This window comes from Homo sapiens, chromosome 4, assembly GCF_000001405.40.
Source record: "Homo sapiens chromosome 4, GRCh38.p14 Primary Assembly".
Classification (NCBI taxonomy): domain Eukaryota; kingdom Metazoa; phylum Chordata; class Mammalia; order Primates; family Hominidae; genus Homo; species Homo sapiens.
Genome location: NC_000004.12, coordinates 122,245,525 through 122,268,050, shown reverse-complemented (window position 1 = coordinate 122,268,050; position 22,526 = coordinate 122,245,525). Strand labels below are relative to the sequence as shown.

At 35.5% G+C, this 22,526-nt stretch overlaps 1 protein-coding gene across 44 annotated transcripts in view; it reads right to left on the bottom strand.

Annotated features, from left to right (window-relative positions):
* The window catches only part of BLTP1 (bridge-like lipid transfer protein family member 1), a 210,422-nt gene that overhangs the window by 94,702 nt on the left and 93,194 nt on the right, over positions 1-22,526 (bottom strand). For all 44 annotated transcript variants that reach the window (XR_938783.2, XM_047416253.1, XM_047416259.1 and 41 more), the window contains 14 exons: positions 21,753-21,899; positions 21,241-21,368; positions 20,694-20,893; positions 18,369-18,566; positions 17,478-17,689; positions 13,705-13,856; positions 13,096-13,246; positions 12,768-12,920; positions 10,556-10,796; positions 9,208-9,350; positions 5,068-5,287; positions 4,451-4,609; positions 3,624-3,799; positions 1,093-1,268 (listed from right to left, as the gene is read on the bottom strand). Coding sequence is in view for 43 of the 44 variants with exons in the window: in XM_047416253.1 (XP_047272209.1) it covers positions 1,093-1,268; positions 3,624-3,799; positions 4,451-4,609; positions 5,068-5,287; positions 9,208-9,350; positions 10,556-10,796; positions 12,768-12,920; positions 13,096-13,246; positions 13,705-13,856; positions 17,478-17,689; positions 18,369-18,566; positions 20,694-20,893; positions 21,241-21,368; positions 21,753-21,899 (2,456 nt within the window). In the remaining variant the exon portion in view is untranslated. The remainder of the gene's footprint in view (positions 1-1,092; positions 1,269-3,623; positions 3,800-4,450; positions 4,610-5,067; positions 5,288-9,207; positions 9,351-10,555; positions 10,797-12,767; positions 12,921-13,095; positions 13,247-13,704; positions 13,857-17,477; positions 17,690-18,368; positions 18,567-20,693; positions 20,894-21,240; positions 21,369-21,752; positions 21,900-22,526) is intronic.

The following is a 22,526-nucleotide window of genomic DNA, read 5'->3' as shown; positions in this document are numbered from 1 at the left end:
ATAAGACTATTGTGAAAAGCAAGAACTTTTGTTAAATTATTTAAAATTTAAATAGAAATATTTCAAATGAAAAATATATTTTACTTAGCTATATATCAGACACAAGTATTTTAATTTACCACCTTGCAAAAACACAAAAAGGATGAAAGAAACAATACTACAGAAACCTCTTGTCATAAATGCCATTTATCTCCATATTCTACTATTTCTATCGATTTAAGTCCCACTGAAAATAAAATCCCAAGTTCCCAAAATATTACTCAAATCCTGTTAGTGGGTATATTATTTCCTATTAAACACTAAAGAAACTGAAGAACCATCCATGACAATATAAAATAACAGCAAAAGATGGTTCTTAACTTTTACCATGCTACATTTCTATTTGTTTCTGATGGCTAGACTCTCAATATGACTTCTGCCCTATTTCTAATACAAAATACTACCTGACACGTCAACCCAGAACCCTTAAGATCATAAAAATTCCACTATTACAAGAGCCAAGTAAATAAATGGTGAGTGCATATATCAATATATATGACCCTCATCTATGTGCTAACGTGGTTCAAAAATATGCCTAAAAATAGGCCTCATAATCTGTTCATAAATGCAACTAGTTATTAATAAGAAAATGTGGCTACTACTTTTACTAAAAGGTAATTATCTTCTGATTAACATATTAAAATTACTTTCTTGGCTGGGCACGATGGCTCACGCCTGTAATCCCAGCACTTTGGGAGGCCGAGGCGGGTGGATCACGAGGTCAGGAGTTCAAGACCATCCTGGCTAACACAGTGAAACCCCGTCTCTACTAAAAATACAAAAACATTAGCCAGGCATGGTGGCAGGCGCTTGTGGTCCCGGCTACTCGGCAGGCTGAGGCAGGAGAATGGCATGAACCCGGGAGGTGGAGCTTGCAGTAAGCCGAGATTGCGCCACTGCACTCCAGCCTGGGCGACAGAGCGAGACTCCGTCTCAAAAAAAAAAAAAAAAAAAAAAAAATTACTTCCTTATTTGGATTACACGAAAGTAACGTTAAAAAACAAACGTATTATAATTCTTGCACAAAATTATACACAAAAATGCAAAAGACACCTTCTTGCTCTTTTGCCTTTTCTCTCTTTGGCTGTGTCTGAATCCACAATATCTGCTCTGAGGCAGTCCAAAGTCCCTGAAAATGAAAGGTGTTCTCCAAAGTACATTCGGTAGCAGAATGGCATTGTATCCTGTGACTGGATCCCTGTATGACTCAGAAGAGGCTTGAAAACAACCTAAAAGACATAAACATTCATATTAGCTCAACTTACAGCTTATCATTTACTGTAGAAATTACATGTAGGAAAATGCAGCTTTTATTTCTTACCCTACCTCAGTACATATTATTATTATCATAGTGTGAAGCAAAAATGGTCTCATATAATTGACTCTAACTTTACTTAAAATTTAATATTTTTAGTACCTATTATAGGCCACTCATCTTCAAATTAATAATAATAAATAAGGACACAGATTCCTTGACCCTACCTAAGTGTCTGAAAGTACAAGGAAAATAAAATTATGAATTAGTTAAATCATTCTACCTCTTGCTTTTAAAACAGGTATGAATTCCTATTGTGTTTCCATTTACAAAAAAAAACATATATTACATTCACAAAGTTGACTTTTCAACTTCCTGTGTTAATATAAAAACATTATAAATGTTATGAATATCTGACCTATTTTTAAATGGAAGCACTTGGTTGTAATAGTCATTTAACATTTATCTTCAGAGAACTTCCTTTACATTTTAAGTATCATACATGCTTATGGAGATAGATTATTCTGGTTAAATCTCTAGTTAACTGAATTTCAGACACAGCACTAACCTGAACAGAAAGAACTACATGTGTTCAATGCTAGAGCACTAAAATCACTCTGACTACTCATCCTCTGCCACATGGTTCCTTTTCCCCCTTCTACATTCTAAATATAGGTGCTATCCAGTGCTTTTCTCAGCCTCCTCTTTCACTACACATTCTACCTTAGTGATCTTTTCCTGAAGCTTAAAAAAACCCTATCTAGGCCGGGCACGGTGGCTCATGCCTGTAATCCCAGCACTTTGGGAGGCCAAGGCAGGTGGATCACGAGGTCAGATCGAGACCATCCTGGCTAACACGGTGAAACCCTGTCTCTACTAAAAATACAAAAAATTAGCTGGGCATAGTGGCGGGTGCCTGTATTCCAGCTACTTGGGAGGCTGAGGCAGGAGAATGGCGTGAACCCGGGAGGTGGAGCTTGCAGTGAGCCAAGATTGCACTACTGCACTCCAGCCTGGGCTATAGATCAAGACTCTGTCTCAAACAAACAAACAAACAACAACAAAAAAATATCTAAATGGACAAGTGCCATTTACACAATGAGAGCCAAGCCTGTATTTCCGATTGTCCTAGGTCACCTCATTTTTTTGTGTGTGCTTGGGAAGACAGCTCTCTCTTTAACTGACTCTAAATTCCAATACTTCTCATTTTTCTACTGATTTTGCTCCATCTGCTAACCGTTCTTTCCTTTATTTTTGATCATTAGCTTCCTAATTTCTCAAGTACAGTTGGCCCTCCATATCCAAGGGTTCTGCATCCAAGGACTCAACCAACCACATTGAAAATATTAGGGAGTAAAAACCAATAAAATATAACAATGTAACAATTAAAAAATACAAATAAAAACCCAATACAGTGTAACAATTATTGACGTAGCATTTACATTGCATTAGGTATTATAAGTAATCTAGAAAAGATTTAAAGTATACAGAAGGATGTATGTATGTTGTATGCAAATATATGCCATTCTATATAAGGGACTTGGGCATACCACAGATTTTGGTATCCTGGGTGGCGGATCAGAGGGTGGGTAGGGGGTTGGTCCTGCAACCAATCCCTTGAATACTGAGGGAGAGCTGTATGTAAATATGCTCAAGACACCTTTATCCTGAAAAAATGATGCCTCCTCTCACCCACGTCCCACTCTCACACTTGCCTGCTGGCTGTTCAAACCAAAGAGTATGTTTTAAAGGGTTTCACTCTTTATTCGCCATATTTAAGCAATTAAATAAGACTTTCACCATATCCTCATTTACCTTTTCAAAGCCATAAACATCTAAGCCTAGAGTCTCATTACCACTGGGTGAACTATTTCAATAATTCATCTTTTCAACACTAGTTTCTCTATTTCAATCAATTTAATACATTTGCTACTCATATAATATTTCTACATCTATAGTTTTTTACTTTATTCCTCTGCTCTAAAATCATCAATGCTTCCCCACTGCTCGCTCAATAAAGTCTTAACGTAGCACTAAAAACCATAGGGTATGATTATCTATTCATGTTGCTTAGCCAATTTGTTACGAATAACAAAAAGGTTACTATATGAGACTCTTCTATTTAATGATTACATATAGATAATTAATTTGCATTTATAACTAAGCCATGTACTTTTTAAAGGCTCCTCCTGTTTTGCATGAAGGCTGTAGGCAGATAGGTAAGGTATAGCCTCACTAGAATTCCAAGGTGCGTACTATTGGAGGTTCCAGTTGCTAAGCAATGCCTAAGGAGGTATTATTATAATTAGGAAAAAGCAGGCTGGCTCACCTGTGCATCAGCAAGCTGAACAGCAGGAAACCCTTGGTTTGCTTCTTCTACACCTGCCACATCATCCTGACTGGTGCTATGCTGAGAATGTGTCCCATCCAAAGTATTTTGGTCACTAGACAAGACAGTGTTGAAATCTGAGGCTGAGGGTATTGTTGGAAGATTGGGTGCAACACCTAATGGAGTAAATTTTTAAGAATAAAATGTAAATTATTGGGGAATAGAAACACATAAAAGTGTACAGCAGGGTAAACTTTTGAAGCCTGTATAGTAGTACCATTTCAAGACTGATTAAATTGAAAAGAAAAAAAATAATGCATACTTTTAGGTTATTTTACAGACATGATTTATTAGTGAAAAATGAAATTAACTTTTCAGAACACATGTCATCCTTATCTATCCTTATACATACATACTGTTTTAGATTTAATTAAATATTTGTTAAGTAACTAAAGGTTTAGAATGATAGTTATTAGGTCTCAGAGGGATCTAGATAAATTAAAACTATCTTTTGTAATATCAAGTATATGATGTTGTAATTACACTTTGCATTTTTTCATTTACCACTTAAACCAGCCACATTAAAAGGAAGCTTTAAACTCTTTATATACAATCTCACATTTGACATATTTGCCTTTCAACAAGAACACTGAGTGACTGCTTACTACTCTCTCAATTACAATATTATCAAAGGCATTTAAAAATATAAATGGACCAATTTCAACCAAACAGTACTTGTTTGATTTTTAACCCATCCCCTGAAAAATAAGATTTTGGTATATGTTCCCCTTAAGACAGTTAAGCAAAATAATGTGATAACTCAATACCTGTGGGAAGACTATTGTGTCCTGATTTTGTAACAGGAGATTCTTGTAACACACTTCCTCGATTACCCACAGCATTTGACATCCAATTATAGAAACTCACAGATGATGGCTCAGATAGCAAGGGATGTTCAGATAACATATCAGTGGCTACTGTATTTCCTGAAAATAAAATGTTTCTGAGTATAATATTATTTATATACTAAGGAGCAAAAAAATGTAATTTATATACCTATATTTGAAGAATCAAGTTAAAATGTATGTTTGCAGATGGTTTTGAATTCTCACTGCATAATGTTGGTATTTGGATATTAATGCATTAATAAATAGCTTATTTTTATTATAACAGGGGAAATTCTATGTTGCTGGTCTAGACAGTACCCCACACCAAATGCCTACATTGACATTCGTCAGAGCTGCAATTTAAAAATGCAAACTAAGGGCATGAAGACTCCGAAAAGTTACAAACAGAACAATGGATTCCTAAAATTTTTTCTCAAAGATAAGGTATGAGAGATTAGTTGTACTACCAAAGTATATATCTAACTAAACTTAAGTCCTGTTTCATCTCAATTCCCCCGTAAATATAAACATGTAATTATCAAATCTAGAGGACGTACCTGTTCTCGTTAGGGAGCTACTTTTCACAGCAGCACTGCTTCTCTGAGGAGTACCTTCCAGGAGGTTGTGCAGGCTTGGGAAGCTTCCAGTCAGGTAGCTGAGTAGGCTCTCCTTCCTTGGACTGTCCTTTACTGGCATCCCAGCACGTCCAACATGCACTGGAGAATCAGTGGCAGTGTCTCCACTGGTATAGCTCAGAGAATGATATGGGTGAATGCCCTACAGAAAGTGTAACTTAGGGTTATTTCTTATGTATATAAAAATGACAGCTGATAACTACAACCACTATTACTATTACTGTTGCTATAACTGCTAGCTACTTTGCACATTAATACCAAAACTGATCATGTATACTAGGATTGTGGTGAATCCTTTTTACATACGTCCTTAAATGTAGGTAAAAATGTTTTGCAACTCTATAGTACAAGACAAAGAGCCACTTTTATTATCAATATTATAATGAAGCACATCCACTTATTTTAACCATGGATCTTTAATTCCCTTCTTAATCTGATGAGGGAATCTGGTGACAAGACATAAAACCACATAGCACCGTATATCAAATAGATGGTGGAAATGAAGCACTATTCATACCTAAGGAGCAGTAAATAGTATATTGAAACTTCAGAAAGTTATACATAGCATGTTTGTGGAAGTGCCAGAGAACATTCATATGGGTAGCAAAGAAAAACAGTAGCCTGAAATATTTATATCACTGCTTATTTACTGAACCAGCAAACTGATACCTAGACACAATATCCCTTACACAAAATATTCCCTAGAAAAACTTACTATACACACACACACACACACACACACACACACACACACACAAAGGATCTGTAACATGACTGATCCCATCAAAAGTAAGTCTAGGTACTCAAAGAAACTAAAGAAAGAAAAGCTATCTATCTTCAGCAACCTTCCCTGCATTTTTTTACGGGAGTCAGAATAGACATCTACCTGGAAGGAAACTAGAGGCTTTTTGCTAATAGCAAGAAATGTTGACGCAATGGATACCAGTGCTGTGAAGCCCTTAAATGTCTTAACCTCCTCTGAAAAGCAGAAAAGCTTATTCCCTTTTCAATGCCCTCCCAGTCATCCTCACTTAGATGAGGAAAGGTGGAGGAAGGGTGTTGACACAGGAAGTAAAAGAACACTCACAACGTATTAAACACTTGATAAGCATGTTTCATGTATTAGCTTATTTAATCCTTAAGTTCTCCAAGGTAAGATATTCTGTCCTAAAGGATGAAGAAAAGTCCCTTACATACTTACTAAGGAAAAAGCCAGATTTTTAACCCATCTACCTAACTTCTACCTTCAAATTCTTAACACTAAATTATCCTTCCTACTACTCTAATAATCAAGGTGTGTTAAGATTTAATTCTCTGGAGAGCTCTGAAATGCCAAAAAGACTTTCCACAATTAATGAAAAAAAATTAAAAATTACAGAATTTTTCGATTTCTATCTTCTGTCACATCTATGATTAGAATGGCCGATCAATTTAAAATACAGTACAAAAAAAGACTACACAGGCAAAAAAGATCTTGAAAAGCAAAGATCGGAAACTAAGCATTTGGAATTTCACATTTTTAGAGGACTTTAATAACCCATAGCAAAAGAATGTTCAAAACAATTCTGAAAATGAACAGCTTTAACAGGAAAACACCTAAATATGATTCAGAAGGTTGAAAAAACTGTCCATCAGGAAAAAAAGCTAAGACAGATTAAAGTGTCCCAAGCGTCTAACTATACTGTGGAAACAATAAGCTCAATAGTTCAGTCTTCTTTTTAAAGTATATCAAACTATCATTGAATGTTTTAACTAAAAGAGCCATACTTACACAGAATAAAAACTTTGAAAGCCCAAGAGACTATTCAATAGAAAGTAAGTCCTGTGTTCCAATATACTGGATCCCTTTCCCAGAGACTCTCTTAACTGTTTCTTATCTATCTTTACATAAATCAGTTAGGCCTATATAAGTACATACATATTTATCCGTTTTTAAACACACAAATAGATATCATCCTATACTTTATCAGTGTACTTCGGTGATCATTCCATATCCACTTACAGATCTACTTCATCTAAAAGATTTCATAGTATGCATCTATATCAGTGTACGCTAGTTTATTAGTCCTCTAATGATTAGTCATTTGTGTTGTTTCCACTATTTTCCTTTTATAAATAGTGCTGCAAAGAACGTTCTTAGACTCATCATGTCTTCGCACATCTATGACTTTCTCTAGAATGAATTCCTCAATATGGAAATACTAGATAAAAGAGCATCACCTTCTAAATTTTGACACATATTGCCACATTGTTATTCAAAGAGGTTGCACCAATTTGATTCTCATCAATGCCGTATGAGTATCTGTTTTCTTACATCTTCACCAACAATGTACACTATTCAAAAGTTTTAGTCTTTCAATCTGATAAGTGAGAATGGAAATCTCATTTTAATTTACATTTCTTTAATTATAAGAAAACATTTTTGTATGTGTATATGTATTTTTCTGTGAACTACCTGTTTATATCATTTAACCATTTTTTCTATTTGGTATTGGCTTTTTTCTTACTGATAAGGATGAGATCTTTATATTTTAGAAAATTAGCCTTTTGTCATGTGTCTTACTGTTCTGTTTACAATACAGTCATGTGCCACATAATTACAGTTTAAGTGAACTACAGGCAACGTATACAACAGTGAACCCATAAGATTATAATATCATATTTTTACTGTATCTTTTCTGTGTTGAAATACACAAACACCATTGCATTCCAATTGCCCACTGGTTTCAGGATAGTAATATGCTGTACAGGTTTGTAGCCTAGGAGCAACAGGCTATCTATCCCATATAGTCTAGGTGTGTAGTAGGCTGTACCATCATCTAGGTTTGTGTAAGTACAGGCTATGATGTTTACACAATGACAAATTGCCTAATGATCCATTTCTCAGAATGCATCATCCCTGTCATTAAGTGATGCATGACTATATATTACTTTGTTCTGTGTAGAAATTTTTATTTAATATTGTCAAAATTATCATTTTACAGATTCTGGGTATCAATGTGAGTCTATACACAGACTTTCAAAGAAAGTTAAAATTTTTTTTTTTTGAGATGGCGTCTCGCTCTGTCGCCCAGGCTGGAGTGCAGTGGCAGGATCTAGGCTCACTGCAACCTCCACCTCCCAGGTTCAAGCAGTTCTCTGCCTCAGCCTCCCGAGTAGCTGGGATTACAGGCGCCTGCCACCACACCCGGCTAATTTTTGTATTTTTAGTAGAAATGGGGTTTCACCATCTTGGCCAGGCTGGTCTTGAACTCCTGACCTTGTGATCCACCCGCCTTGGCCTCCCAAAGTGCTGGAATTATAGGCATGAACCACCGCGCCTGGCCAGAAAGTTAAAATTTTAACTTTTTCAGTGCTCACAAAAGTAAACTAGCACAAAATAAAGAACCACCAACAACAATAACTAGCAAAAAATAAAGAACCAACAACAAATGATTCATTAAGGGTCAGATATTGCTCTAGGCATTTTTCATGAATTAACTCAATTATTTCTCACAACCCTCTTCAGAAGTTTACTATTATAATCTCCATCTTACACCAAGGAAACTGACGTACAGTTAAAGCCTGTTCAGTCAGAGAGCAACTAAGTGGCGGGGCAGGTTTCAAACCAAGGCAGTCTGGCTTGCAAGGTGGTACTCTAACCACTTTGCTATATGTCTCTTATCAAGCATCCATTAAATTCATAAAACCAAAAAAATTAAAATCATAAAACAGTCTAACCCAAACCACCTATTGATCACACACTGCCTAAAAGGCTTCTCATTAAAACTGATAATTATAAGATTATCAACATTTTCAATTTGGGATTTTATGGAATACAGTATTCAATAAACTGGAGACAGCTCTAAGGCTTGGTAGTTATAGTGGTCCTTAATCAACAGCAGTTACTGATGATACAATTTTCAAAGAAATATTTACACTGAAATTACAAATCAAGTTAATTTCAACACGAAAATGCTATCTGAATATTTAGGGTGGACACCTAACATTTAAATTTGAGATAAAATTTTAGGTTTTCTCTGTAAGTCTGGATAACTCTAACCAAAAAGAGCAATAATATACCTTTATTTTTAATGCAGAGTCACTATGGGTATGAGTTTTAGAAAGTTTCCTCATTATCTCAGCTCCAGTTACAGGTCCAGAGCTACCAGGTGGAGGCCGGTTAGCTGTTCCTTCTAATAGCATTGTGTGTTCACTGACTGTGGCTGAAACAGTTCAAAAGAATAAGTGAGCAATAGATTATCACACATTTTCATGAAACATCAGCCCCTATGTTTCTAGTTATATAATGACACTCAACTTTCATATTCCTTGACAAATATTTATTATTTTCTCCCCCACCCCAATCCTCTCACTCAGTTTCAAGAAAGGAACAAACGGCTTTTATTAGACTTTCACATATTCCATGCAAATGATACTCGGACCAAAAGTCAATTCAACTAAGCGCAAGAAAGCACAGACTGCTCATAGATTAACAGAGGGATTTGCAGATAATTGGAAGGGATATTCAGTGTACTGGTTTTCAAACTTTTGTGTAGATTTGAAATTTTCTAAAATAAGTAATAAAATCTACCCTATTCCTCATAACTCATTTATTTGTTAAATATCAAGTTATTTTTAAAACTAAGCTTGGTAAAGTTTTATATATCAATGTTCTAAAATCTCTAAGACTACTCTTTCAATATTTTTTTCAAAACATCATAACATGCATTTTCAATAAATATGATAGGTCATGATAATAAAAATTAATCTTTGGCAAAGCTTAAGGTATGCAAGTACATTTCATAAATGTATATCCACTATCTTTATTCTGACACAGCCATTTTGTTGACAAAATTGTAGGCTGAGCGCAGGCCCCAAAGTTTACATAAATTCAGGATCAAGCAGGCATCAGGTAAAAAGACAAAGGCCCCTTTAAAATACTGTGGCATAGGGAAGATGACAGACAAATACAAGTTTTAAATAGAGGTTTATGTGTTTCATTCAAAACGTTCTACTTATATTATCTTTGTCCTGGATAGATCAAGAGAAGTCTACTGTATTTCACAAAACTGAACTTATAAAATCAGGTCAGTATGAAGATTCCTAATCATTATCACTTACTTGGCCAATAAAAATCATACGTGTATACTTAAGCCATGACCATTTTCCAATTTGGGACATGAATTATTAAAATTATCACAAGTACCATATTAACAAGTATGTAATATCTAAAATTGCTTATATTAGTAATTTATTTGTAACTGTGAGGAAAAACAAAGGGTCTTGACATTTTTAAAGAGGTATATTAACTTACTGATAAAAGATGCATAATATCTAAGCAAAAAACATACAGTAATTGTGTTGAGTAAGAAAACACCCTAGTTTTGTGAGGTGTAAGAAAGTACTCAATAGAGGCTTACAAAACTACCTGCATCGAACTCAAATTCTGCTCCATCAGCACTGGTATCACTTTGAAGACCACCCCCATTGTCCAATCCAAGTCCATCTTCATGTTCATGGTCCATAGCTATTTGAGGTTTCAGAGGCTGAGCTGGTCTATGTAAGCTAACTCCTTTAAAGGCTGGTGTCACCACAATAAACTTCATCCACTGCCTTGCCAGTGCAACTAAACCTTTCTTCAAAGTTACCAAAGCAGGAAGTCCATCGCTCTGTAACAATAATCATGTGGTTAGAAGTAATCTAATGTAATAATATCAGTTACCATTTAAGTGCTTTGCATGTATTTATTCAAATCTCATAATACTCATTTAGAGATAAAGAAATTAAAACTTAGATGTTAAGTAATTTGTTCAAAGTTACCCAAGAGAGTCAGGATTTCAATTATAATGTAGACTACAGAATCTAATCTCTAGGCACAACGTTTCATCTTTGTGTCATAAAACAACACAATAGCACAGGTCAATATGATACTAGATGTGGAGTGCAAAGTTGGAATTTTCCTTAAGAAGCATTCAATCAACTTTACTTATTTTGCCCAAGTGAAGAATCAAAATGCATTTTGAGCTACTTGGAACATTCAATAAGCAAAGAGGAAGTAAAATTATTTCCTTCAAAGATTAGGTAACTACCATTGTGTTAACATTTAAAAAAATAAATTACTATAACTTATGTAGTATGCTAGACATAGATGAATTTGTAACTGCCTTGAAAGTTAACTGTATTATCAGTAATAATTATATAGTTTAAAATACATTTTATTCCACATGGTGATGATTGTAAGAAAGAAACTTTTGGCTCTTTTCCTGTTACCTTAGTCTAATTACCTTGCCTTAGCCTAAAGAAAGAGAAAAATATCTAACTCCTCTCCATCCTGTTTCCTATCATTCCTCATTTTAGGAGAAATGGTTAATTTGATTGAAGAGCACTATTTACTAGAAGGCAGGAATCACCCCGTTTACTTTCTGAGGAACACCAAGTCCACTAGCCTCTCCTTTCATTCCCAGCCTTGCATGACGGCCATGTTGTGCCTCTTCCTCTTACATGGAAAACACATCTGGCAGAGCATCCATCCATGGGAAACACCTGCCATTCTCTCTGTTCAAGCTTCTCTACCTATAACTACACAGGCAAGTTAGGCTTAAACTGTAGATTTCCCAGTCTTCAATTCACAGGGAGGGAGTAAAAAGTACTACACCAGCCTTAGGTCTAAGTGTCTTTTTCAAATCCAACACTTACTAGAGATTCTTGACTTGCCTGAACAATGGCTTGACTGGCCATTAATAATACTGATACATTGGTCCCTAATTTGACTAAAGATTCTTGTGTGTCCCCTATTGGCCAGCAACTTGGAGAAGAGAGATCCTAAAAGTTCTAAAACTCTAATCATGATGTTATCTGCTTTTCCAGAGGCAGAGATGGATTGTATTTATTTTGTGTGATTGTATATTCTCCCCTCAATCATCAATTAGTCCCTGTTTCATCAAACTGTATGTGAAATTTGGCTCTGGTGATTATTCTCTTGCTTAAAAACTCTTTATACCTTTAGCTTCCAAGACATCACTCTTTCCTAGTTCTCCTACCTCTTTCTTTCCCTTCCCATCACTTGGTGTATCCCTATCCAACCACCTACACCCCCTTTAATTTTGGCTTTCTTCAGGATTCCATCCCTGAGCAATTTCTTACCCAACATAGCATTCCTGGAAATCTCATCCATGTCTACAGCTTCTACTAACACCTTTATGCTGGCAACTCCCAAATCATTAGTCTGAGCACACTCTTTGTCTATAGACTTGTATTTCTTTTTTTTTCTTTTTCTTGAGACAGAGTTTTGCTCTTGTTGCCCAGGCTGGAGTGAAATGGTGCGATCTTGGTTTGCTGCAGCCTCTGCCTCCCAGGTTCAACCAGTTCTCCTGCCTCAGCCTCCCAAGTAGCTGGGATTACAGGTGACAGCCAGCACGCCCAGCTAATTTTTTGTATTTTTAGTAGAGACAGAGTTTTGCCATGTTGGCCAGCTCTTGGCCTCAAATGATCCAACCGCCTCAGCCTCCCAAAGTGCTGGGATTACAGGCCTATAGACTTGTATTTCTAACCATTCTCACATGCATCTCAAACCCTGTGTATCAGTGGTCCACCAACAGAATAGAGAATTCCTTAAAACTAATGTAGTTTCAGTAACTTACCATTGTAGCATCATCAATGATGGAGTAATTTGCCTGGTGCAGATAGTGGTGTAGTATATTACATAGTAAACATGAAGGATTTTCTTGGAGAAAGCGAGCAACTTTTGTAAGCCTGTTGTATTTACTTCTTAGGGGAAAATGTACACTTTTATTCTAAAATCAAGAAACAACAATAGATTTAGAGTGATAGGTATGAAAGAGCCTACAAATAAAAGACATTCAGTAATTAAGAACTTGTAAATCTGATATTTTCCAATAATGATTAACAATAAGGGGTCATTTTCAATACTAAAGTTTGTATAATACCTTGTATTATTTAAAGACATACCTCTAATGCTTCTGTCATTATGCATCCCATAACAGCACAAATTCTCAAGGTTCCCTCAGTTTCCAATTTGTTTAAAGATGACTTGAGTTGGTCAATGGGAACAAGCCATGCACCAACAGCTGGTGTTGCAGTGCTTAAAAGGTTCAGCTGCCTTTTTAACATAAATAAAAAATTATAAAAACAAGTGTCAAAATTTGTATTCCAAACAATCTCCCATACCTACTGTACTTAGTGGTTGTTTTACTCAGGCAAAATTAATTTCTTTTCTTTTTGAGCACTGATAAATTATGAAAGCATAACTAAGAAATGTTAAAAAAAATGGACAATAGAAAAGAAAGAAAAAAAAAAGCCTGTCAGAGATAAAAAGAGTAAACAAAAGTCTAAGGCAGAGGAACATATAAAAATAAAACTAAAGTACTATGAAAGAAATTGGGTCAAACAAGGTAAGACTAATGTCTACAGAACATATGAAGTAAGAATGATGAAAAAGTTGCAACCTTAATACTATATATACCAGAAAAGTAATTTTTAAAAATATGAAACAGAATTGTATACTATTTAAAATAAAGAAACATCAAGCGATACTACTATATTTTAAAAACTCTTTACCTAGAAAATGCATGTGTGTGAGATCTCACATTGGTGGGAGCTGCAAAACTAAACCAAATTTCTTTAATGGTCAACTTCATGCTACATGAATCTGGAGGAGGAGGCATCAGAGGTAGATCTTTTTTCAAATCATCAGATTCGACTCCTTCATCCTATATAAAATAGAATGCCAAAAACTTATTAACATACAGCCCCTTAAAACCACTAACACAGAGGCTAATGTTTTAAGTGCAAAACCTTTTCATCAAATCAAGTCTGGGAAAGTCTTTACTTCTCCTTCAGGTTTGAAGGATATTTTTGCCAGATATACTATTCTTTTAAAAGTGTTTTTCCTTCAGCACTTTAAATATGTCATGCCACTCTCTCCTGGCCTGTAAAGATTCCACTGAAAAGTCTGCTGCCAGTTTTATCAGAGCTCCATCGTATGTTATTTGTTTCTTTTCTCTTGCTGCTTTTGGGATCCTTTCTTTATGCTTGATCTTTGGGAGTTTAATGATTAAATATCCTGAGGTAGTCTTAATTGGTTTAAATCTGCTCGGTATTCTCTACCTTCTTGTACTTGAATATTGATATCTTTCTCAAGGTTTGGGAAGTTCTCTGTTGTTACCCCTTTAAACAAACTTTCCACCCGTCTTTCTCTACCTTCTCTTTAAGGCCAGTAACTATTAGATTTGCCCTTTTGAGGCTATTTTCTAGATCTTGTAGGCATGCTTCGTTCTTTTTCATTCCTTTTTTCTTTTGTCTCCTCTATGTATTTTCAAACAGTCTGTCTTCAAGCTCATTAATTCTTTCTTCTGCTTGAACAATTTTGCTGTTAAGAGACTCTGATGCATTCTTCACTATGTCACTTGGATTTTTCAACTCTAGAATTTCTGCTGGATTCTTTTTAATTATTTGTCAAATTTATCTAATAAGATTCTGAATCCCTTCTCTGTGTTACCTTGAATTTCTCTGACTTTCCTCAACACAGTTATTTTGAATTCTTTGTCTGAAAGGTCACACATCTGCTTCTCTGGGATTAGTCTCTGGTGCCTTATTTAATTCATTTGGTGAGGTCGTAGTTTGCTGGCTGTTTTTGATGTTTGTGGACGTTCATCAATGTCTGGGCATTGAAGAGTTAGGTGTTTATTGTAGTCTTCACACTCTGGGCTTGTTTGTACCCATCCTTCTTGGGAAGGCTTTTCAGGTATTCAAAGGGACTTGGGTGTTATAAGTTTCTGGTCAGCAAAGTCATATCTGCATTAGGGGGCATCCCAAGCCCTGTATCACTGTTCTTGCAACTTATAGAGGTACCACCTTGGTGGTCTTGGATAAGATCCAGAAGATTCTCTGGATTACCAGACAGAGGCTCTTATTATCTTCCCTTACTTTCTCCCAAGCAGAGTCTCTCTCTGTGTGTGCTGAGCTTCCTGGAGCTGGTGCAGTGACACAAGCACCCCTGTGGCTACCACCAGTGGAACTGTGTGGGGTTAGACCTGAAGCCAGCATAGCACTGGGTCTCACCCAGGGCCCCCTGTAACCACTACCTGGCTTCTGCCTACGTTTGCTCACAGACCTAGAGCTGTACAATCAGCAGGTGGCGAAGCCAGCCAGGCTTGTGTCTTTCCCTTCAGGGTGGCGAGTTCGCCAGGCTCTGGGCAGGTCTAGAGATGCTATCCAGGAGCCAACAACTGGAGACAAAAACCTTATAAATCTACTTGGTGTTTTATTCTACCATGGCTGAGCTGGCACTCATATCACAAGACACAGACCTTCCCACTCTTCCCTCCCCTTTCCACAGGCAGAGAATCCTTACCCCATGGCCACCACCATCACAGGCCCATGGGGAGTACTGTCACACTACCACTGATGTTCACTTAAGGCCCAAGGGCTGTTCTGTCAGCTTGTGGTGAATGCTGCCAGGCCTGAAACTCACCCTTCAGGACAGTGGGCTCCCTGCTGACCCAGGGCAGGTCCAGAAATGCCATCCAGGAGCCATGTCCTGAAATCAGGTACCCCAAGAGCCTGCTTAGTGCTCTGCACATTGTGGCTGTGCTGGCATCTAAGGTGCAAGACAAAGTCCCCATTACTTCTCCCTCTGCTTTCTCAAGCAGAAAGAATCTCTCACTATAGCCACCACAGCTAGGAACGTGCTAGGTCACACCTAAACCAGCACATCGTAGAGGGTCACCCAAGGCCCATGATATGCTACCTGGGTACTGCTGCTGGTTATTCAGGGCTCAAAGGCTCTTTAGTCAGCAGGTGATTGATCCTGCCAGGACTGGGTCCTTTCCTTCAATGCAGTGGGTTCCCTTCTGGCCTAGGGTGTGTCTAGAAATGTTGTCCAGGAGCTAGGGTCTGCAATGGAGGCTTCATGACTCTGTTAAATACTAAATGATGATGTCTAAAAGGCCACTAAACACAATCCTGGAGCTCAGGTGAAGAGCTGGTGCTAAAGGTGTGGCCAGTGGGAAAGAGAAGTGTCATTAAATTACGGAACTGACCTAGGAAATGAAATTCATCAGGGAGTAGTAGACAAATAGCAAGAAGAAAGGAAGAGCCAAGAACAGAACCTGAGGAAACCACCACATTTAAGAAGAAGAAAAAATTCCATAAAGAAATGGACCAATAAAGTCAGAGAACCCAAAGAAAGTAATGTTAGCCAATTCAAGGGCTTTCAGCAAGAAGAGTAGGATCTGAGAGATCAAGAAAGATGCCTGAATTTCTGTCAAGTATTTTAGTAGGTGAAGGAGAAGGAAAGAACAGCTAGGCTTTTCTCAGCTCTTTTGTCCAGTGAGTAGCTATTGTATTTTTAAATTTCCTTAATTAAAGTGATAATCCATCCCCTAAACATTTCCAAAGACACCAAAATAAAACTGTGATTAAACTCATTAAACTACATATTAAATAAAAACAAATGTTTTAAAAATAAATCCCTAGGAATCTGGGGGGTAAAGGTGAGTATACCCATGATTACTAGATACCCATACTAGACTTCCTAATTAAAAAGTGGTTTCTTTGGAACTTTTTCCTCTCCAATTGGCCTAATTTTCAAAGTGATCAGAAATATATGTACATACGTTTAAGAACAACAGTTACTACATTCTTATTACATACTACATACTGAGCTAAGCCCTTCATATGTATTACCTGCTTCAGTCTTCACAACGCTGCAAGGTCAATAACATGACCATACTCCTATTACAGGTAAAGAGACTTAGGAAAAGGTTAGGAACTTGCCCCAGGTCACCAGTTAGTGGCACGACATTTCTTCAACCAAAAATTTGGAATATTTTTGTTGTTGCTGTTACTGTACTCATCACCACCCATGTAATTCTACCATAATAAAAATAAAAAGTGAGTTGAATATAAGGTGCCATTCAGAACTCTTAACTGAAATAAGCAAACACTGACAAAAATATTTAGAACTGACATAAAATACTACCAATAACAAAATGACTTCTGCCTGCTAAAATCCTCCACACCCTATAGGTGGATTTCTCTTAAATTTTGTTAATTTATTAATTCAACAAATATTTATTAGGTATCTAATTTGAGCAAGGCATAATGCTAGGACTATGATGGATATAAATATATCTATGATATACTTTGGAAATTATATTCTAGTAGTATATTCACCAACACACTTTGACTAACATTTAAGCAGATATCATAAATCCAAAATAGGGAAAGACAGGCAAATACACTCCAGAAACTAATTTTGAATTGCATATGTAGTTTTCTTTGTTATTTTTCTAAAGCACCATTATTATTACTATTAGAAAGTCACTAACCTGTTCATCTGAAACAGAATTTCCATTTAAGTCTGAGGAAGGGCTTGTCCGGTCACATGGAAGATTATCATCAGAGACATCAGTATTATAGCCACTGCCGGTTGGAGAATCAGAAGAATTATTGGATGTCAGCACTCCACCCCTTTCTGTGTCACTAGCTTTACCCATAATTCCAAAACTGTTATATAAAACAGCACCAGACTGTCTTCCTCCTATAAAAATAAAAAAAAGCATTTATTATAAATGGTGAATAAGTGTCTTAATGCTGTACTCTACAATATCTGTATAAAATTTCATAAAGACTATTTTTTTCTCACCAAGTCTTTGCCCTAATCTATAAAAGTAATGTATCACTGAATTATCAGGTAAATAATTGTAGGCATATACAACTACTATTATTTATAGTAGTTACTATATTATATATTACTAAACCTAAAAAAAGTGTTATACACATTTCAACCTTCCTTTTTGAGCTATTACTCAAGAATATATAAAAAAGCAAATATAATTCTAAGTAGATATTTTTCGCTGAATAAAGAATTTACAGTTTTTATATCCTATATGGCATAATTCTACTGACCAAAGATCCAGTTTTCAAAGATGCAAAGTTTCAAAAAATTGGGTGGCTTTATATTTTATTTGGGAATTTATTCGGAAAAACATATTGTTGTTTTTCAAGCTCTACCTACTTTGGAAATCACATAATGGAGGAAAAGCTCCACTTAAGCAATTGGTATGAGGCACTCACCCCCGGTAAATAATCCCAGATACCACACTTTCTGCTTTATTATGTTGATTCAGGTTACTGAAAGCCATGATTGTTCAAAACATTTCTGCAATATAGGACATATTTGTCCCCACCTTAAGCAGAATTCAATAAAAAATGCTTGCCTTTTATGGTTAAATTTTCAAGTCCACATTCAAACATTATCCATCCCCATTTTTCTTGGCTGGGACCTATTCGAGTTACATCTGGAACAGCTTGCTGATCAGTTTCATCCACAAAAGTAAATTCATCCAACTCTTCAAGAGTAAATAAAACTTTGGACTTCTCAAAAGGAATAGCAGTGATTGCACAGGTCCCAATGTCTATTATCAAAAGAGAGCAAAATGACCATTTTTAAAGACATAAGCTTACATTAAAAAACACAAACATTTGGACATATGGCACACTGGTTGTCTTTAAAAGATATCTTAGTGCTCTGTCAAAAAGATAGAAAAACAGGCAAATGAGCTAACTTTTAGAATAATGCTGCCTAAGAGGAAGAAAAGAAGATTTTATGATTAACAAGTTGCTCAAAGGTAGTATGAATTTGTTTCTGAATGATTACAGGATACTCTAAAAAATATAAAGTTAAAAATATCCTAAATAATTTATCTTCACAGTAGTTTTAAATACTTTCATCATCTCACAAAATAAAAAAAAAATTCAATTAATTACCAAGCCTTAGGAAAAACATTATTTTCTAGGCAAATTATAGCTTTTACTAAAAGACTGTTTTATACTGACATATTTTACATAACTACAATTCATCATAGACCTTGTCATGGTTCCACTGCTTACAGATACACTGTGGAAATTAACACCCCAAGTGCCTGAGAGAAGTTTTACTTTATCTTACTTTTTTCATTTCTCTCTCTGATTATTGCTAATGAATATAAAAAAACAAAAAGAATATTAAAAACACATGTAAATTTACCATTCAAGGAGAACTTGTTTATATTTGAAGTACACTGCACTCTAGCCCTTTAGAGATCACTTTGCAAACCCAGCTTTGGCTCCCATTTTCATGCAACAGTAAATAATTTCCTCAGGTCATTAAAATTTTTTCAAAGATATCATTTTAATAGCTATATAATATTCTATGCTATGGAAATGTCATTCTTTGCATTTATAATTAAAAGGTCTTATTCAGAGAATAAACATTCACCTACATTTTCCTATAATTTTCTCATTATTTAATTTTTTTGTATTTGTCTTTAATCCCATACATATTCAGATGTATCAAAGTTCAAAAAATTATGAAAAAGTACGCAATGAAAAGCCTCTAACACCACAACCAGACACCTAGTTCCCCTCCCTATAAGGGTAACAAATATTATGAGGTTATTAAGTAACCTTTGGCAGATAACTAATGTACATATAAGCAAAGACATCTACATTTTTACAGAAATGTCCACCTTGGAATTTCGTTGGGAGTTTTGTCTTCAATGAGAGTGTTTTCTGCATGATAATGCCTTTCAAAATTATATAAGGTTCTGCTTATGGTCTGTATAATACCCAGTGCAAATTGGTTACCCACGCAAACTACAGAGCTGATAAAAGTGTCTTCACTCAAGCCACCACATTTTTCACCAGTTTTAGGACTACAGATCTTAGGTAGTCATGAAAAGTCCCTTGAAAACCTCAGGTCAAATGCTTTCAGCCTCACACCTGGGATGAAAAAAATAAGCCTTGAGAAAGTCAAAACAGGTACACAGACCCAGAATGCAGACAGGAATCATGGAAACTTCAGAACCTATAAAATACAGTAAGCAAATTCAGGGAATTCATTTGTTTACTCAGAATTGGTCACCAGTCCCACATAAAGATTTCAGCAGAGCAATCATCTCAAATACGATTAGCAAATCTAACTTTTTCTGAATTGAATCTCTGACATTCTGAAAACATTTAAGCATCTAAATGATAAAATGTGCTAAATAAGAATCAAAAATATTAAAATGATGTATAACAGCTCTACTTTCCTTTTACCTAACTAGGGACTTTAAGAGGAATGTGTGTCACCTTATTGCTGCTGTATTTTACAGACTCTCTGGTTTTGATTAATATTACAATTAATTCTTTCTAACACTGTTTTACAAACAGAATGACTTAAAAAATAAGAAAGACTATAAAGATCATGTCTTCTCTGTTCTATAACGAGCAAGTAAATAGCATGGAAAAAACACATGGGAAATAGAAACATGGGAAATAGAAGTTCCTAATTTGGGGCCATACCACTTAATTTTCTTACCAAAGTTTATTTTCTATTCTGTACAGAATGTGAGTGACAAGTAGCTAAATACCACGTGTTCAATATAGGGAGAAATACCTTTCTCTTTCTTATAGAATACCGAATTGTAGCAATAGTCAAAGGAAAAAAACATGTTCCCTTCTGCAAAATCATCTTACATTTATATATGCCAAGAAAAAACATATTTGTTGTAGAATCCTACCTGTTGTATCAAGACCCCTAAGTTGCCCATGAACTCGATGAATGTTTAACTTAGCTGCAATTTCTTTGCCTTTTTCTGCTCCAGCATTTGATCTGAGAGATCCAGATGACTGAGGCTGCATCTTTGTGGCATGAACATACCTATCAAAATTTGATGTTCTACCAGGTTCTGCATTGTTTGAAGTCTCTTCAACCACACCTCTTTATGAAAAAAAAGAGAGTAAAATGTTTAACATTTAAATAATACAGTTCAGAGAAAACATTTACCTAAAAGGTTTCCTTTAAAAAAAACAAAACACTCTACTATTATACACCAATAGTAGTAAAAAATTATTCAATGTTTACTGAAAGATACTATGAATAGAAACAGTAAAAATTTTTTAAAGACATATGTTACTAATCTATAAATTAAGATTTGAAATTCCAAAACCAGTTCTGAGTTTTAACATTACATTCTTAGAAATGTATTTTTAAAAGAAAAGATGATCAAGGCTTGCTTTTACATCCAGCAAGATAATCATGGCTCAGATTAATAAAGTATTTCTTACCTGTTCATGCGAACCTGTGTAGCAATTCTGTCAAAACACAATGCCACTAGGGAAACATGAGTCACACTCCTACTAGGAGCCGTAGTTGGAGATTCTTCCACTGAGGCTTGTAACAAACATAAGTTTACCTAACACACACACAAAATTTCAGAACTGACAAGTGAAAAATTACCACTTAAACATAAAATATGCACAAAAATGAAAAACTACTGTTAAGAATGGCATATCTATGTATTTGACAGTGAAGACAAAGCTTATGAATACAGATTCTCATAAAATAATCATAATTAAATTTTTACTGGATGGATGTGGAACATTCTACTATTACCTAATATTCTGCTTAAGTAAACTATTTACATTCCATTAGATCTACATTAGATCATAGAAATAAAACATATTTTTTTAATATTACACACTGTTCTACCATTATTCACGTTGGTAACTGAAAAGGACAAACACCATCAAAATGCTCTCCTCTTTCAGGAAAAAATTTTTAAATATTAAATTGTTACCTTTGGTATGCTAACATTAGTCTGAAGACCTTTAATTGTTACATTATCTTGCTTCATTGTAAGATTTGTCTGTGCTTGTCCTTGGTTAGTCGTTCCTATTGTAGACTGCTCAGTTTTTGTTCCTCTAATGTCTTGTTTGGAAGATAACTAAAAAGATCGTAAGTGAAATTATTTCACAAGCTTTTCATAACTTCCACATCATCCACAACAGCAACTCACTTATTCACGCTGCCCCTCTATGCCTATCTATGTGCCAGCTGCGTTCTAGTTTTATATCCCACCTTAAAATCCAAACTTTCGATAAGCTAGGAAAAAGACTGGTAGCATCATGGTTGAGAAAAGTAATACACATTAAATTGAAATCAGCCTACAGAGAAGCAGACAGAAAAAATGGTACAGTAATTACAGGCATTTTTTAAGATCACTAAACTCTTCTGGCTTGAAAACAAACTTGGTTTCTGATAATTGGCCCCTTTTTGGCTAGGAATATTTTCAAATTTCTTTTTTTCACTCTTCTACTCTATCACATGAAATGCCAATATATATTAAATAAATAGTTAACTAAAATAATCAGTCTCACTTTCATCTCTCTTCTGGTCCCTACTCTAAGTATAATCCAGATAAATTTGAAAATCAAATGGAGAAGCTCTGGAAGAGCACTGGGATATGACTGCTAAGCAACTGGCTTCGTGGCTGGAACCACAATGTAAGTAGAATATCATACAATGAGAGTAGTGACTTGATTCACTGAAGTGAACGAGGAAAATCTCAAAA